General features: G+C 38.7%; 2 protein-coding genes and 1 pseudogene across 28 annotated transcripts in view, besides 1 other annotated feature; 2 read left to right on the forward strand and 1 right to left on the reverse strand.

Moving 5' to 3' along the window:
* P2RY14 (purinergic receptor P2Y14) overlaps positions 1–16,207 on the reverse strand; it is a 66,426-nt gene extending 50,219 nt beyond the window's left edge. For 3 of the 4 annotated variants that reach the window (XM_011513340.4, NM_014879.4, XM_005247922.4), the window contains exon 1: positions 15,952–16,207. The gene's annotated coding sequence lies outside the window, so the exon portion shown is untranslated. Of the gene's footprint in view, positions 1–15,657; positions 15,723–15,951 lie in introns of all 4 variants that reach the window. The other variant, XM_017007583.3, reaches the window with a different exon arrangement.
* MED12L (mediator complex subunit 12L) overlaps positions 1–17,790 on the forward strand; it is a 350,990-nt gene that overhangs the window by 176,672 nt on the left and 156,528 nt on the right. The gene's annotated exons all lie outside the window — the stretch shown is intronic.
* Positions 6,513–6,582: an enhancer, noted in NCBI's record as "active region_20700". NCBI's record gives its function as "activates an Ori minimal core promoter by ATAC-STARR-seq in GM12878 lymphoblastoid cells {active_cell/tissue: GM12878}" and the evidence as "EXISTENCE:reporter gene assay evidence [ECO:0000049][PMID:35858748]".
* Positions 7,107–7,959, forward strand: SETP11 (SET pseudogene 11; annotated as a pseudogene).

Below are 17,790 nucleotides of genomic sequence, written 5' to 3' on the forward strand. Positions count from 1 at the left end.
TGGACTGTGGTTTGCCCCCAACTTTTTGTGGGAAGAATTTGCACACTGAGATATCTCCAGACATTAATGCTGGGCCCTGTGGTGAATGTAAACATGGTACCTATGGGGTGGCCCTGACACCTGGCTGGCAACAGTGGGTGCCTGCTTGCTCAGCCATAGACTTTACATAGTTCAGCCTTTTGGAGGTCCCTGTGCCAGCCACTGTGAAGGAAATTTGGTGAGGCCTATGTTAAAAGCTTAGTTTGTATATGTGTTTTTTAAATTTACTAAGGGATGCATGGGCAATGTAAATACATTAGAAAATACAGAAAAGTAGAAAGCAGAAAATTAAAATCACCGACAGATTTATTCTTGGGTAACCAGTTATTTTGTTGCAAATGGTAAAATGCACTAGGAAGATAACAGGAATAATAATAATACCTAAGACTTACTGAGTTTTTATTGTATGCCAGATACTGTTCTAAATTCCTTATTTATATTAACTCATTAAAACCTGATAGCTTCTATATAAAGTAAGTCCTGTTAACGTCTCCTCAGTTAAATGATAGAGGGCAGTAAGGCTTGGTGAGGTTAAGCATTTTGCCTGAAGACACGTAGCTGGTAAGGATTTGAGTTGAGGCAGGGGAAGCCGTAGTTCTCTAGGGCATCTTAACATGTACCCTCTGCTGGTCTTTAGGAGGAAGAGAAAACACTGCAATGAATGACTGTCGCGTGGGGTGGCGTTGGGGAAGAGACCCATGTAGGAGTACATGGGGTTGACGAGTGAGGATTAGGACATGTCTGCATGGGCGAAGTGGGTGCAGAGATGGATCAACAGCTGAGGAGTGTGCACAGGCCCTGTGCTTTTAGGATGGCCCAGCACCCTTTAGTGATTTGGCTAATCAGCCTCACCTTCAGCTATCTTCCAGTCCTTTGTCATCAGCACGTGAAACTGCTGAAATAATGCCAGCTGAGTGGACCTCCCCAGAGTGTCTTAAACTTGTGAGCATCTGTTTCATTTTAAACTGGATAACATTGCATTATTACAAACATGTGGAACCAGAAGGAAATGTACAAATGTGGTGTTCACAATTTGCTATCATAGTGAAGGCTGACAGAATTATCATAAGTCACTGAGCCTTTAAATAACATTTGTTTGTAAAGTTGTTTTGTTCTTTGATTTTGAGTTTAATGCCAACTTGGGTCATATCAACTTTCCAAAATATCATGAGCTTTACGTGTTTTATCGTTAATTTAATTTTCCTTGAAATTATTTCCCAGAACATCAAATGGGAGTTTTAAATTTTTTAAGTGTTATTTGAAAGAAACAATCCAAGAAAAAATTAATTTAACATGTTCAGTGAATAAGGACTCATCTCTAAGAGATTAATGTAATATAGAGATTAAGAATGCAGGCTACAGGGTTGGAATTCCTGGATTCCCGTACCACCCCCCCCACTTATCAGCTCTGTGACTCTTGGTAAAATACCTAACTCATCTGTTAAATGGTAATAATTCTCTTTACCCCATAGGGTTGTGGTAAGAGTGAGACAATACAAAGCAGTGTTGAAGTCAGTGCAGGGTAAAGTGTGGCACAGCCTTCAGTTAATGTTAGGAATTGTAGAAAGGCAGATAACGATGGACAGAGGCTGAGATCTCTTACCACCACTCCTTCCCTCTCCCCTACCCACTTAACAGTATATCATGGTGACTTTTCCATTTCAGTTTTTAAAGTTCTGCCTTTTTCTTTTGAGTAGTTCTACTTCATTTCACTGAAGAAAAGAATCATAACCATTTTTCTGTTACTGGACATTTGGGTTATTTCATTGTTCAGTGTTTAAAGATCTCTGTACTTGTATTTCCTTGTTCCCTCCCACATTCCCCTAAAATCTTTGAAGGTTGTGTTTTGAGGTTGGTCTTCAGTACAGCTGCTGTAATTGATTTCATTATTTTGTAAGCACTTGTTTGCTGTGACATCAAAAAGAGTTTGTGCTCACTTAGCATAAAATTAAGTAATTATTGGACATGCCATCTTTTAAATGGAAGAACTGAACTCTTCTCACGAGGGCAGTAGGAGTGTATTTTGTCAGTTAGGAAAGAAGAAACTGCTTAAGAGCTTTTATTGAAAACGCCTTATGGCCTGTCTCAGAAATTCAAACCTGAGCTTATTAGTTGGTTTATGATTGTGTAAAGCGCACATCTCTAAGATAACCATAACCCAGTATGGAGAGTTTTCTCATTTATAGTTGATGGGGTTTCTTTCTCCTGAAATTGTTTCCCTCAAATTGCAGTTTAATTTGTGTATTAAAAACTGCTCTGTCATAATCAATGCTGGGAGCAGGAGCCTCCTGTGACCTTCCAGCCTGTGCCCCCTACCCCAGCCAGCTGCAAGAAGGAGCTCTAAAAACACAAATTAAGTCTTGCTACTCCCTTGCTCAGGCCCACCCAGTGCGTGTGTGTGTATGTGTGTGTGTGGTCTCATCACACTTAGAAAACATCCAGAGTTTGGTCATGGCCTGCATGGCTCTACATGACCAGCTGGCCCTGCCTGGTTCTCTGACTGTACCTCCTGTGGCCACTGCCTTGCCCTTCTCTTGTAGCCACACTGGCCTTCTTGCTCTTGCTCCTCCACTTCAAAGATAACACACCCATCTTCTCCATTTGCTCTTTCTCCCTCTTTGTCTCCCTTATTTCTGTTCTGATCTCTCATCTTCATGATGATTTCTTCCTCTCACCCTATTTTCCAGAACTCGCCATTATGTCCTGCCTCCAGCCTGCTAGATTATTCTTCAGTGCAGAACCACTTGTTATGCTGTGTGTCGCCAGCACCTAGAGCAGTATCTGGCACAGTGGAAGTATTCAGTTAATAATGGTTGAGCCAAAGACGGAATAAACAAAGGGGAGCTACTCATAGAATATAATGTACGATGCTCTATTCTGAGACTTTAAATAGTCATCATGGAAACTGAGTAGATCTTTTGGCTTTTAAAGTTAAAGAGATCAGGAAAATAAAACTGTTGAGTTTATTTTTCCCAGCACAGACGTGGAATTTCTGAGAATTTTTTAAAAAGCAGAAGTTTCACAGACTGATTTCTCTTTTTTGAGTATCATTATCTTCTGCTTCTTTACTCTTATATTTGTGTCTTACACCATGAGAGCCTTTTCGAGTCTTTATTCTCAACTGCCCACTTGCCGGTCACTGCCATCATCCTCCCTATCTCCTCTCAAATCACTGATGACAGATTTTCAGTTATATTCAGGGTTTCTCTCTAAGAAAATAGGCAGTATACAGCAGGCTCATCATAAGAATATTCCTTTTTATACGGAGGAATCTGAGTAGGTTTTAAAATGTTTCTTGGCTGGCTTCTGGCAGTCCTCATAGGCCTTCTGGGGTTCCAGGGAGACGGATGGTGTCCCCATCTCAGCCTCACCAAGAGTATAGTATTTCTGGTTCTGTCTTATGTATTGGTAAGATTGTGTTTGTATAAAAAAATTTCTCCCTGCAAATTAAAGTCAGAACACCTATGAAATTGGAAGGGTCTCTTGGTCCTTTTCAGGGAATCATGGAAAGGCTTGGAGCAGAGTCTTGCGGCCCTGAGAATTGAAGATGGCAGGCAAAGGGCATCAGCGCTGGGCAAGTCTGATTAGTTCTGGTTCAAAGAGGCATTTAATTGTTGTCTGTGCCTTCAGGTTGCTCAGTTACAAGAGTTTCTGAGCTACTGACTTAGATTCGACTTGGCAGTGTGCACAGGTGCCCTTGGCTTTGCTGCCATCTTTCCCCTTTCAGTTCCCCTTTCTCCTTAGTGCTTTTGTTTGCAGCACAACGTTGTTACGGCAACTTTATGCTAATGATGCTGCTGCCTCTGTGCCTTTGAGGAAGGCTCATCTGATTTCTGTTAAATAAGTAGATGTCCCTTCATGACCTCAATTTCCAAGGTATTCAACATCTTCTATTAAAATGAGAACATGAACTTATCAAAGCCAAAATGTTAACAAATTTGTGAAATATTTGAACCCTATCACTGCATGTGTCTGGAAATCTCAAACAGAAGAGACTTTTAGGATCACATTTACAGTATCATCCAGATAGAAAGCAGTTTAGTGTTGAGCGAACGGACTTAACATTAAACACAGGTTGCCTAGACTCTAGACATTTTTTAAATTATATTTTTACAGAAGCAGTTGTATAATAGTGCAGTCCTTTTTAAAAATCGCGTTTCAATTTTGACTTCCACCTTAGCGTTAGCTATAAGAGATGGGGGTTGCTGTCTTATTTTCCTTGAACATTCTTTCCTATTCTAGTACCTTGAAGATTTTAAGTAAATGAAGGAGTGGATGAGCAAGTGATATGAACATATCAGTGGAAAGGAACTCCAGCCATGGGAGGAAAGCTTTGGGACTTGGTGGCTTGGCACAGGGAAAAATAAAGCATACATGCAGGAAATAGTTAGCTGCCTGGTAAGAAGAAAGACTAAGGTCAGAGCAAAAAAGTGCTGTAGATGTCCTACGAAGGGAAAACTTCCTTCTCCTGGGAAGGAATTGGTATGCTGTCATGCCCAGCATGTTGTAGGAGTCTGTAACTTTTATAAACCCCCACCTTCACATGAAGTCAATCCATTCTGTCCTGGAGTGTTTTCAGTATGGTTTAAAATGGATTTTATGGGATGTTTGGATTTACTTTATACATAGTGTTGACAAATTACATCTATACTGTAAAGTACAAAAGACTTTTTCCTAATTTAAAATTGTCTGGGCAGCTCATTCTAGAGTTCATTTCTTGCGTGTTAGAACTCCTTACATTCTTGAAGTGAAGTTTATTTTGACTGTTTACAGGAACTATCAACTAAACACTTCATGGAAGATGTGACTTATGACAGTATTCCTTACTGGGAGATTTTTGCTTTCTTTATTCTTTTTGACCTTTGGCTGTGAAAAGGATTGTACATTGTCATTTAGAAAGGCATAACAATAATGAAGTGCTATTAAGGAAATGGTAGTCATTGAAATACTTCATGAGAAAAGGAATTTAAGTGTATAATGTAATCAAATTTAAGTAGCTAATCACAAATCCCCTTTTCTTTTTAGAAAGAAACAATATCAAGGTTATATGTTACTTTCTCTTTTTTCACCCTAAATTCTAAGCCACTATTGATTATCCCTGAAATGTTAGCTTGTGAATCTGGGTAATTGTTAAAAACAGAAAAGTGCAAGCTACAAATGAGAGCCTCGGTCCTTGCTTAGATGTAAATAGTTTTCCTATGAATTTAAAACATTTTTTTAAAGCCACCTAAATCCTATAAAATAATGCCAGTGTTTCAGGCTATAGAAAATGTCTCTTGAGAGTAATATCTTGTAACATGTATTACTTATATATATAAGTCAGTTTTCAACAGAGCTGCTGTGAATTACTGTTTTATGGCCTAATTCATTAAAAAGAATTGCCTAATTGTGGTGTAGAAACTTAGGCACTAAGGCAGAGTAATAAGAAAGGAACCTTGCTAAAACATGGAGCATGTTTTGGCTGAATAATATCAAGGAAACAGCTGTCAAAATACAGTGTTTGAGAATAGCTTTTTAAAATTTCTTTGTACGTAGAGTATTTTATCAGTTGCTAAGTACTTAAGAAATGCGCTATTATCCTAATTTATGAATTTCTCCAAATGCCAGTAAAATGGACAAGGGTAATTTTTGCTCTTTTTAGTCTTATGCGTTCTTAGTAAAGTCTCAAGGAAATAGCTGGAAATGCTCTGTTTTAATATGCATCGGTGGTAGTCTTTAAACAGTGGGAATACTTCTTTTTATGTTTTCAGCTTACATGTTTTCAATACAAAGCATTAATAAAACATTTTTTAAAGCTACCTAAATCCTATAAAATAATGCCAGTGTTTTAGGGTATAGAAAATGTCTCTTGAGAGTAATATCTTGTAACATTTATTACTTATATATATATATAAGTCAGTTTTCAACAGAGCTGCTGTGAATTACTGTTTTATGGCCTAATTTGTTAAAAAGAATTCAGTCTATGCTAATGACATGGTAATTTTCTAACATATATACAAAGAGGAAGAAAATATGGTGAGCATACTGCTCTCCATTTTCTGTGCTGAGTTAAACTGCTATTTGTACAGAAATGAAACTGGATTATCCCTGCCCTAGTCAAGGCATGTCCTAGGCAGAACCATAACATGAGTTCTAAATGGAAGCTTCCAGGTTTCTCCATTTTGTCTAATTTGTGAGTTAGACATTTTGTCAAATTTTGCCTAATTTGTTTCAAATTTTGTCTAATTTGTGAGTTCATTCCCATTAGTGGTTTTTTAAATCTAGAATGTTACTGAGGCTGAGCATAGAGCCTTTAGTAAGCTTTGAAAACACATTTCTTCTAACCTATAGGGCATTTATAAGTGAGTCAGCAGTGTTTACAAAGCACTTGTTCTCTGCAGAGAGCTACTAACAGATGAAATGGAGGAATCAAGGAAGCAATTTAAGATGTATCATAGACCTAAAGGTAAAACTAAGACCACAAAGCTTCTAGAGGAAAATGTAAAATACCTTCCCAACCTTCGGTTGGTTTTAGTATGCAAAATTTTTTAGCCACAAAACAAAAAAAATTAAGTTTTCTGAGCGTCTTCCTGACGAGAAAGAAGAATTGTGGTCTGGTTCTTGAACTTTCCTAGCGGTGTGACCCCCAAAACCAAGACTACTTCCTGCTCTGAGACCGGAGGAGACATTGGCCTCTCTGGGCTTGCTGAAGAAGGGAGAAAAAGAACAGAAAGAAGCAATTGAATATATTGACGACGTACAAAAGGAAATACAGGCTGGGCGCGGTGGCTTATGCCTATACTCTGGGAGGCCAAGGTGGGTGGATCACCTGAGGTCGGGAGTTCGAGACCAGCCTGACCAACATGCAGAAACCCCATCTCTACTAAAAATACAAAATTAGCCAGGTGTGGTGGTGCATGCCTGTAATCCCAGCTACTTGGGAGGCTGAGGCAGGAGAATCACTAGAACCTGGGAGGTGGAGGTTGCAGTGACCTGAGATCGTGCCATTGCACTCCAGCCTGGGCAACAAGAGTGAAACTCCATCACACACACACACACACACACACACACACACACACACACACACAAAATTCAGAGACTTAATGAACAAGCCAGTGGGGAGATTGTGAAAGCAGAACAGAAGTATAACAAATTCTGCCAACCATTTTTTGGAAGAGGTCAAAATTGATTGCCCAAATTTCAAATTTTTGGGTAACAGCATTTGTCAGCCATCCACAAGTGTCTACATTACTTGGGGAGGAAGACAAAGAGGCACTGTATTATTTGACGAGTTGAAGTGACAGAATTTGGAGGTATTAAATCAGGTTACAGAAAGATTTTTATTTTGATGAAAATCTTTAGTTTGAAAATAAAGTTCTCTCCAAGGAATTTCATCTGAATGAGAGTGGTGATCTATTTTTAGAGTCCACTGAAGTCAAATGCAAATCTGGAAAGGATATAATGAAAACGTTCCAGTCAAACGCAGAGTAAAGTCAGCAGGAAGAGGCAGCACGAAGAACCAGAGAGCTTCTTTACCTGGTTTACTGACCGTTCTGATGCAGGTGTTGTTGAGTTGGGAGAGTTCATCAAAGATAATACTTGGACAAATCCATTACAGTACTACTTGGTTTTCAATATGGATGATGAAGAAAGGGAAGGAGATAAATGATGAAGAAGGATGGGAAGATATTGATAAAGAAAGGGGATAAGGATGAAGATGAAGAAGATGAAGATGATGATGAAAGGGAGGAAAGAAAGGGGGTGAAGGAGAAAATGACTAATAGAACACTGATAGGTTCCAACCTTTTTAAAAATTTTCTCCAGTTCCTGGGAGCAAGCTGTCGTGTGTGTGTGTGTGTGTGTGTGTGTGTGTGTGTGTGTGTGTGTGTTTTCTTTTGGGCTCAGCTGCCTTGTTCTTGAGGTCTTTTTTTCTCTACACCACAGCTCTCAACTTATTTGGGGGGAAAATAACTTGAGCAGAATACAATGGGAAAAGGATCTCTACCCCTTTCTGTTCCAAATTCATTTTTATCCCTTCTTGTCTGAACAAAAACTGTATGGATTTAATACCACTGAACTCTCTGGGGAAAAAAGAAAAACCTCCCTTTGCTCTGCTGGAATTTGCATGGTGCTAAGCCCCTGTGTATTAGTGCACAGAATTTTAGCGCTTTTCTTCCTTTCTCTGTGTATTATGCTCAGAACACTGTGTCTCTGCGTGAATATGGATAGTTAGCATTTGCCAACATGTATCTGTCTACTTTCTCTTGTTTAAAAAAAGACAAAACAAAAAATGGGACTATGTAAGGTCAGCAAAGGGTGAGTTTGAGATGTTTGGGTGGGTTAAGTGTGTATTTTGACAACATGGCTTCTCCTTTGGCATATTTAATTGTGATGTTTAATGGGCATCTTTGCAGTTTAACATGACACATTTAAAATAAGTTCTCTCCAGTGATGACTCTTGCCCTGCCACTCGATGGGACAATCCACAGAACCTGCAGGATATTATTTAGAATTCACATTCTCTGTTGTACTTTTGTACCTGTCTATTTTAAAATTTTCTTTTTATTTCACTGGAAAGGAAAGATGACACTTAGTTTTAAATGTTAAAAGTGTACAAGTTGCTTTGTTAGAATAAAACTAAATGTGTACACATACCCAAAAACCAAAAAAAAAAAAATCCCCAAATTTAAAACTTTCATTTTTTTTGTAGACACCATTAAGAAAATGAAGGCAAGCCATAGATTGGGGAGTAAATATTCACAAAAGTATCTCTGTTAAAGGCTCAGACTATTTAAATAATTTTCATTACTCTATAATAAAAAGACAAACTCAGTTTCTTAAAAAAAATGCTGAAAAGATGCAAACAAATAATTCACAAAGGAAGCTGTTTGGTCAAGGAGCACATGAAAAGATTCTCAGCCTCACTTGTCAACAGGGAAATACAAATTAAAATAATAAGGTAGTACTTTCACCCATTAGAATGGAAAAAAACTTGACAATGTTAAGAATTGACGAGGAAATAGAATAATTGATACTTTGGTATATTTTTGGTTATAGTGTAAAATAGTAAATCTACTTTGAATAACGGGTCACTTCTTATCAAGTTAAACATGTTGCTTCCTTGTGACCTAGTAATTTCACTCCTAGGTGTTTACCCAGGAGAAGTGAAAGTGTATGTCCATAGAAAGACTTATATTAGAATATTCATAGCAACTCTTTTCACAACAGCCAAAAGTTGGGAACAACCCAAATGCTCATCAACAGATTAAAATGGGTAAACAAATTGTGGTATACTCATAGAATACCATATGGTGATCCGGAGGATGATGCGGGCCCACAATATAGGTAAATCTCAAAACATGCTGAGCAAAACAAGTTAAATCTCAAAACATGTTGAGCAAAACAAGTCAGACACAAACGACTATGTACCTTGTGATTCCATTTCAGTGTAGTTCTAATACTGGTAGAACTAAGCTCTAATGAGAGAAATTAGGAATGTAGATGGCTGTGCCTAGAAAAGAGAATGATGAAATTTTTGTGATGGAAATACTATTTATCTTAATTGGGGTGGTGATTATATGGTGTCAAACCTCAATGAACTCTACACTTAAAATCTAATTTTCATTTATTGTATGTGGTTTATACCCCAATATAAATTAGGGGAAAAAGTCAAAGGCACAAAACTTGCTCTTGAAGCAATACAGATGTTGAGCATACACAGAGCAGATTGTAATGTGTGTGTAAATGGTATAGGGTGCTTGAAAGAGGGCAGAAGTGACAGTGTGTACCACATGAGCTTGCAGGAAAAGGCAGGATAAACAGAAAAGGCTTTCTGGACAATAGATGGTTTGTGCTGTGTTTTGAAGATGCAAAGAGGTAAATGTTTTTAGGACTTGGGGATAAGATTTCTCAAATAGGGTCAAGGTTTCTCAAGTCAAGAGGTCAAGATAAAAATAAAACAGGACATGTTTTTGGACAAATAAACATAAATTGAAGTTGTTTTTCTACTCAGTATATCATTCCCATAGTTATCAGTCTATCATTTCCCATATATATGTATCATGTCCCTCTTACAAGACTCATCTTAATTCTGCTTCTTCTGTTCTCCAGGTGCACCAGCACACAGTGGTATTTCCTCCTCCCAAATTCCCATTTTCTAACTTATAAATTAAAAGCACCATTTAATTTTTCCTAGATTATATCCTGTTTTTCAGTGTGGATATTCTTACAAAGTGCATACTCGGGAAAGGTTGTTTGTCCTCTGCCCCAAGTATAAAATATTGAGTACACAACCAAATCCTGGTTAATTAAGATTTGGTGGGTAGAGGTTGACAGATGTGCAGGAGGTGGGGACATCTGTGGATATGGCTTGAAGTGTGGAGTTGTAGATTTTCTTCCTTGTATGAGTGTTAATGGCTATAATGTTTTGACTCTCAACTATGTACCAGGCATGATAACTCTTACAGCCATTCTTCTAGGTGGTTATTTTTGTTCTGTTTTCTACAGATGAGTCAACTGAGCAGGGAGAGGTTAAGGAACACACTGGAATTTTGAATACAAGTTGAGTATCCCTAATCCCAAAATCTGAAGTCCGAAGTGCTTCAATATCCGAAACTTTTTGAGGGCTGACATGACTCTCAAAAGAAATGTTCATTGGAGCATTTCAGATTAGGGATTCTCATCTGCTAAGTGTAATGCAAATATTCCAAAATCTGAAATCTGAAACACTCCTGGTCCAAAGCAGTATGATCAAGGAATATTCAACCTCTGTATCTCTTTGGCTTCCATTGTTCTTATAGTCATCAGAGCACCACACTATGTTATTGGGAAAGAAGATGATGCTGGCAATGACAGCAATAAACATTGTTGTGTTCTTTTTTTTTTTTTTTTTTTTTGAGATGGAGTCTTGCTGTGTCACCCAGGCTGTGGTGCAGTGGTGCGATCTCAGCTCACTGCAGCCTCTGCCTCCTGGGTTCAAGCAATTCTGCCTCAGCCTCCTGAGTAGCTGGGATTACAGGCACACACCACCATGCCCGGCTAATTTTTGTATTTTTTTTTTTTTTTTTTTTAGTAGAGACAGAGTTTCACCATGTTGGCCAGGCTGGTCTGAAACTTCTGACCTTGTGATCTGCCCACCTCGGCCTCCCAAAGTGTTGGGATTACAGGCGTGAGCCACTGCGCCCGGCCTGATTGTGTTCTTATGCCAATTACTGTTCTGGGTAATTTATGTATATAACTCATTTAATCCCCATAACTCAGTAAGGAAAATGAGGCATAGAGTTGTTAAGTGACTTTATTAAGGTTGTATTAGAATAAGTGGTGGAGTCAAGATTTGAAGCCAAAAAGTCTGATTCTAGAATGCCCACTTTTCATTATTATGCTATACTACTTGGCATTGTACACATAGGGACTGGTTGTCTTCTTTAGAACAAGGCATATACCATTTCTTAATTGGGGTAGGAGTGGATTTAAATAAAACTTGGTGATGCAGACTGTTGTTTTCAAATCATATTTAAGACCCTCATTTTTGTCCATTCATGTAACATTTATTGAAAACTTCACTGTGTTATGAGGCTAAGACAGAGTCTTTTCTTTTGAGGGACTTTAAAGTCTAGGACTGGGTCTGGATTTTTTAAATCGTGTGGCCTCTAAAGCATTTTAAAGTTCTCACACTACTTGAACTAAACTGAGAAACTGGATTTGACTGGCAGTGTGCTAAAGTCGTGGCTCATGAAAGAAAATTGGTGCAGATATCTGATGAACCAACCCATATTCAGAAAAAAGGCCTCGCTGCCACAAAACCAAAAGATTAAGCAATTAATGTGCACTTTGTATTTCAAATTAAAATAATGTATTTAAGGTTTCTAAAAATAATTCCTACTTAACCTGTTATTTTGGTTAACCTGTATTTTTCCTTAACTAACTTGCCTCAGTGGTACCAGTTATAAGGACAGCTGCTGTGTATCAAACTCAGTGATAACAGGGACAGCTGGTCTGACATCTTAGGTTTTCTTTTTATCTCAGACCATATCCTCCCTCTTCCTTTTTTCACTTCTATAAAGGTAGTGCTTATAGGCATATTTATAGTGGGGAAAGAGGCAGTGAAATCCTTGTGCAGAAACATAGGTAGGCAGTTTTGGGGGCCAGGAGAGAAAGAACATTCAACACTAAAGGCCACCTCCTAGGACATTTAACTGAACTAAGTATCATTTTTCATATTCTGTTTTTGTCATCTGTACATGCAGGGCTATCAGCTCCCAGCTGGATTAAGGTTAGGGATTTGGATCTAGTCAGTAAATGACTTCTGATGAGATTAGAATCGTCTCCAAATCCCCATTAAGGAAATAAAAATGTAATCTTATAAGTTATAATATGTCCAAAGATTGTTGTCATAATTGAATGACTATCAATTCCTAGGAGTGATGATGTTAAGGTTTGTGGATATGTCTGTTAGAATGTAAGCCACCAGAGGCCCAGAACCTTTTCATCACACCATCTCTACCATTCCTAGAATGTTGGCTGCCTCATTGTAAGGAATCAGTGTTGAATGAATAAATGGCCAAAATATCCCTAGAGTGAGAAGGGGATTTCATTCATCATCTGTAGCAGGATGGAAATGTTCTTAGATGAAACCTTGTGTGAGCTCTCCTACCAACCTTTGACCTTAGGGCTCGACTCACTGGGAAGATCACATCAGCAACAGGTGAGTTCTTTCCAGCCAGGTGTCTCTCCCACTATAGAAGGTGGCACATTTCCCATCTGCTTGGTATAAATGGCTCCTAGAGTCTAGAGGCTATAAGTGATGTGATGAAAATAATTGCGTGTGTATGATCCTGGAGAGTATCGAGGATCAGATTTTTTTCCCCAAGTGATCACACCACAAGTGTACAGATCGCTTTGGGCCAACCTCAGAAGCCAACTAACTGATCTTTTCCTCTTTTCTTTGGTATCTTAACCTCAAAAGCAGATGTCATATAATTGGGTAGAAGCCAGCACCCGTCCCTGGCTGTTCTTTTATTTGAATGATGAGGGGTCAGAACATGATATCTAAGGCCTTTGATGCTTTTCAAAAACAACAGATGGGAGGTTTCAGTGAAAAATAAAAAGCTAGCAATTTAATTTATACCGAGTAAAGACAAAAATTTCAAAGGAATCTAATCAGATCTAAAAGCATATGACCAGTATTTCACTTTGACTTTAAAGAACAGGTGGATTGAGAAGCTTTGCTGTGGTAAACTTGGTGTTTCGGTGAATTAATGTAACCAAATGATTACTATAAAAATAGCATTCATTAATTACTAGATTTATCCTTTTTAAGGGTGCTAGGGAGGAAAAGAAAATTCCCTGTAAAGAAGAACCAGAAAATTTAGTAAAGAGGGTTTTGGAGACCTGATTCTCATGCTACTTAGGAAGCTGAGAATTTAAAATAGATTTTACATAGTTTGGTTGTAGGTATTTTTTCTCATTAAGATAGGATATTTTTACTGAAGTTGATTTATCTAGCTGTGCTGCTCAGACTTTTAGGAGGCAATGCATCTTTTAGTATTGCGGGGTGATGGTGGGGAGGCTATGGGTGTAGCACCAGACTTGAAGCTAATTTGAAATCCCAAGTAGTAGACAGCATCTGGCCAATGAAATGCCTTCTTAGCATCCAGTATGAACTGGCAGGGTGATCATATTGATGATCATAATTAATTTATTATACAATCAAGGACACTTTTGAGATAGAAAGGAGGCACTATTTTCAATTATGCCCAGACAACAGGTGAAAACTGGATCTGTCCCAGGACATGGGGTCACCCAAAACTGAATGTGCAACAGAATTACCTGGAGGGCTTGTTAAAAGAGATTGCTGGGCTCCACCCCCATTGTTTCTGATTCTGTAGGTTTGGGGTCAATAATTTGCATGTCTGACAAGCTCACTGGTGATGTTGATTCAGCTGGTATAGTATCTGCACTTTGAGATCCACTGCTCTATCCAAACAAACTTGGCACTCTTGTACTGATATAATTTTCAATTAAAGGAAACACTCCTTATTGTCCATCATCCTCCACTAGACAGCCTTCTGCAGGTGAGGATGCTCATGATGATGGCAGAATATGCTTGTGTTGGTGTCAGCCTACCTCCTGGACTGGTCTGTTTTTGGTATTCTAGAGACTGCTCACACTGGGAGGTTGAAACAGCTCACTTGTGACCGACCTAACTTCTAAGGATATCCTGGGGCCAAATGGAATAAACCTGTGACTTCTGAGTTCATAGAGCCTTAGGCTTAGGGAAGCCTCAACATCTAAATTCACTCAGAAGCACTTTATAGAGTGAACGTTCTTCTAGGGAGCCGTGTTCTTCTTCTGTTCAGCACTTTAGAAGCATCATAGGTGGCCTTGCTCAGGATAGTCACACCCTCTGTACCTGCTTCAACTGTGAAGTGGGCACCGTAATACTTCAGGAAATTATACTTCTTCCTCTGCACCCGGCCCACTTCCCCTGTGTCTTCATGCTTTGAGTACCTTGGAATCTCCCCACTGTTCTTTTGGTTTTATTTTTGTTTGTTTTTGTTTTTGAGACAGGGTCTCACTCTCTCGCCCAGACTGGAGTGCAGTGGCCCGATCTCAGCTCACCACAACCTCTGGCTCCCAGACTCAAGCGATTCTCCTGCCTCAGCCTCCTGAGTACCTGGGATTACAGGCATGCACCACTACCACCCAGCTAATTTTTGTATTTTTAGTGGAGATAGGGGTTTTACCACGTTGGCCAGGCTGGTCTTGAACTCCTGACCAGCCTCTCCTGAGGCCACTCACCTTGGCCTCACAAAGTGCTGGGATTACAGGTGTGAGCCACCATGCCTGGCCTCCTTGTTTTTTTTTTTTCCAGACATGACAATATAGAGTTCATTCATATATACCAATGTGTTAATTGTGTGCACACAATTGTATGCATGTTTGTATATATAGTATTCATAAATTTTACCGAAATATAAAATTCATTGCATGTTTACAAATCATAAAATATGCCATTTTGGTATTTTCCGAGTGCATTGTTTTCTTTTTAACTTAATGGCTAGGTTTTTTTTTAGTGCTAAAACTGATTATCAAGTTTGTATGTTTTAGAAAGATGAATATACAAACTATTTATTTTTTTACTAGTGTGATCTTTGATTCATTTTCTCCGTAGGATTGATTGTCCTTGGTTAACAAAGTATATGTAGACAAGATGGATTGCATGGGCTTGGTTGAATAAGCTGACATTGTGGGTCTGTGCTAATTCTCCTGAATGTAATTTAATTTATAATGTTTAAAGAATTGTAAGTAATTTAGCTGATTAGTCATAGACTATAAATAAGTAGCATATGAACTCAAATATTTGCTATGCCTAGGACAGATATTTCTGTGATTTACAATTTAAAGGCATTTTATTTTAGTAGGTGTTAATGGGGTTAACTTATCCTAATAATGACAAAGATAAAAACTTTTACCTATATAAGTGTATGTACAAGTAAATGCAACTATATATCTGTACACATATGCAATTGCAAACAAAGACATACTGACCTAAGTATTATGCTAATCGATTTTGTAGTTTTGAGAAGCAATTTTAATACACATTTACGAGCTTTTGAAATGTTTGTCCTGGATGAATACCTTTTAAACATTTTCCTTGATATCTCTTCATCACAGATATATTTTGACAGCCACGATTGGAAATCCTAAATCATAAATGATAATATTTCAGTATTGGATCCCCATATTAGCATGGGGAAATATATTAATATACCAATTATAGTTGTCAAACAAAAAGTAACCTACTGAGAAAAATGTGAGTGGCAATGGTTCAGTGTTCCTCAGCTTTGTTGCTGCCCAGCTCAGAAATCTTTTCTGTTCCCATGCACCATTCACATACATGCAAGTCATTTCATGGAAAAGCTGTTTTCTTACCTGCGTCTAGGCCTTCATCTGTGAGAGTCATGCTTCACTCATTTTGAAATACCTCTCATTGTAGGCTCCAAGGTAACACTGTTACAGAGTTCTTGCTCATCTTCAACTACGGATGAAAATCAGGAACTTGACAGAAACCACAAGATAGTGGGTCCCTCTGCTGCTGTTGTCAGATAGAATTTATTGAAGACTGGGACGTGGAAACAAAGAGGAAGGAAGAGACGTTTTAATCTCTGTGGGTGTTAGGCTGACTTCTGAGCTAGTTCCTTTCCTCCAGTAATGCAAAAACAGTCCTGCTTTCTTATTTCTCCTCCTACTTTTCCCCACATCCCTACATCATCTGATGCACAGCCAGGCAAAAACCTGTTTTCTTTTCTAACCTTTGCCATTGTCAAATTCAACATGTGGTATGAGGTGGAGAACTGATGTGTAAGATATGGTTCTTTCTGAAGCACCCTCAGAAAATTGTCAGCAGCTTCACAGTATAACGTGCAGAGATGGGTAGTTGGAGCTACCTGGAAATGCGGAATTAACAGAATAAAGAAGTATTTTGACACCAATGTCGACATATTCTAGATAAGAGGTGTTGCATTGTCATTTTTCCCACATTAATTTTCCCATATTTGAACATTACTGATAAATAGATCACAAGTAGGACTTCAGATAAACTCCTCGTGTGTTAACATTTTGGTGTTTGTGCTGTGTTACTATTTTGAAAGTCTTCATATTTTTAGTTCCTTTCAGGCTCTGTAATATAATTGGTGATGTCCTGCAGTGCTCCACTGTCTTTCCCATTGACTATTAGTGCCATTAGATTTGGAAGTTTTCAGAAGATGGCTACAAAGTCCTCTTCAAAGTGTATAACTCAGAACCAGAAAGAAAGAAGACAAGGGGCTGAAAAGCTTACTTTATAAGGTTCCTGCATTTTAAGTGTATTTACTTAGGCTGTTCCATTGCCAAATTATGGGTAACAACTAGTAAAGTTCAGCTTGCCTTAAAAACATAGCTATACATTTAGTTATAATAATTATAACTGGCTTATGACATGCCCGTTACTATTCTAGTTGCTTTATATGTACTTGCTACGTAGGAGGCAGTGTTCTGGACATTGGAGATGGAGTAGTGACTGACACATACCCAAACAGTTATTTCCCTCATGAAGAGTATTTTCTTACTTTCTGTCTCACAGACTTGCTAGTCACTGTTGATCCTTGGCAAAGACCTGTGAGACACAGAGCTTGTTTAGAGAAGTTCGCCATTTCTCCCTGCCAGAGGGACTCTTCTTCAGACCCCCAGCGGGCCCCAATAGTCCTCACTGATGCTTTGATTGAGGGGCTAAGAATACTGATGTGCATAGAGAGGCTTGTTAGCTTCAGCTGCAGTGAGATCTGGTAGGTAAATAAACTTAAGGACAAGTGGATGTGAGGAGGAGCCGCTAGAGCCTGGTTATTACCAGGGCACATTGCAGAGTCCTCCAGATGTAAACATTTTGCTGATTAAATTGATGATTTGGCAGGAACCGTATCTCTAAGGTGCGACTCTCAAGACTTCCCTGATTTATTGCAGGAGATGCTGTTTACTCTGACAGTCTCAAAAACACCCATTAATTGTTCCGGGTCCCTTTTGTGCTTCTTGACTTCCCCGTGGGGTGTTTCACATAGATGTTATTGAGTATGACTGGGGAGAACATGATAATTTGTTGCTTCTTGACTTCCCCGTGGGGTGTTTCACATAGATGTTATTGAGTATGACTGGGGAGAACATGATAATTTCTTTGACTGGAGCTGCTTGCTTGCCTCTTAATGCCAGGAGTTGCAAAGTCCAAGGCCAAAAGGATAG

This window comes from Homo sapiens, chromosome 3, assembly GCF_000001405.40.
Source record: "Homo sapiens chromosome 3, GRCh38.p14 Primary Assembly".
Lineage (NCBI taxonomy): Eukaryota > Metazoa > Chordata > Mammalia > Primates > Hominidae > Homo > Homo sapiens.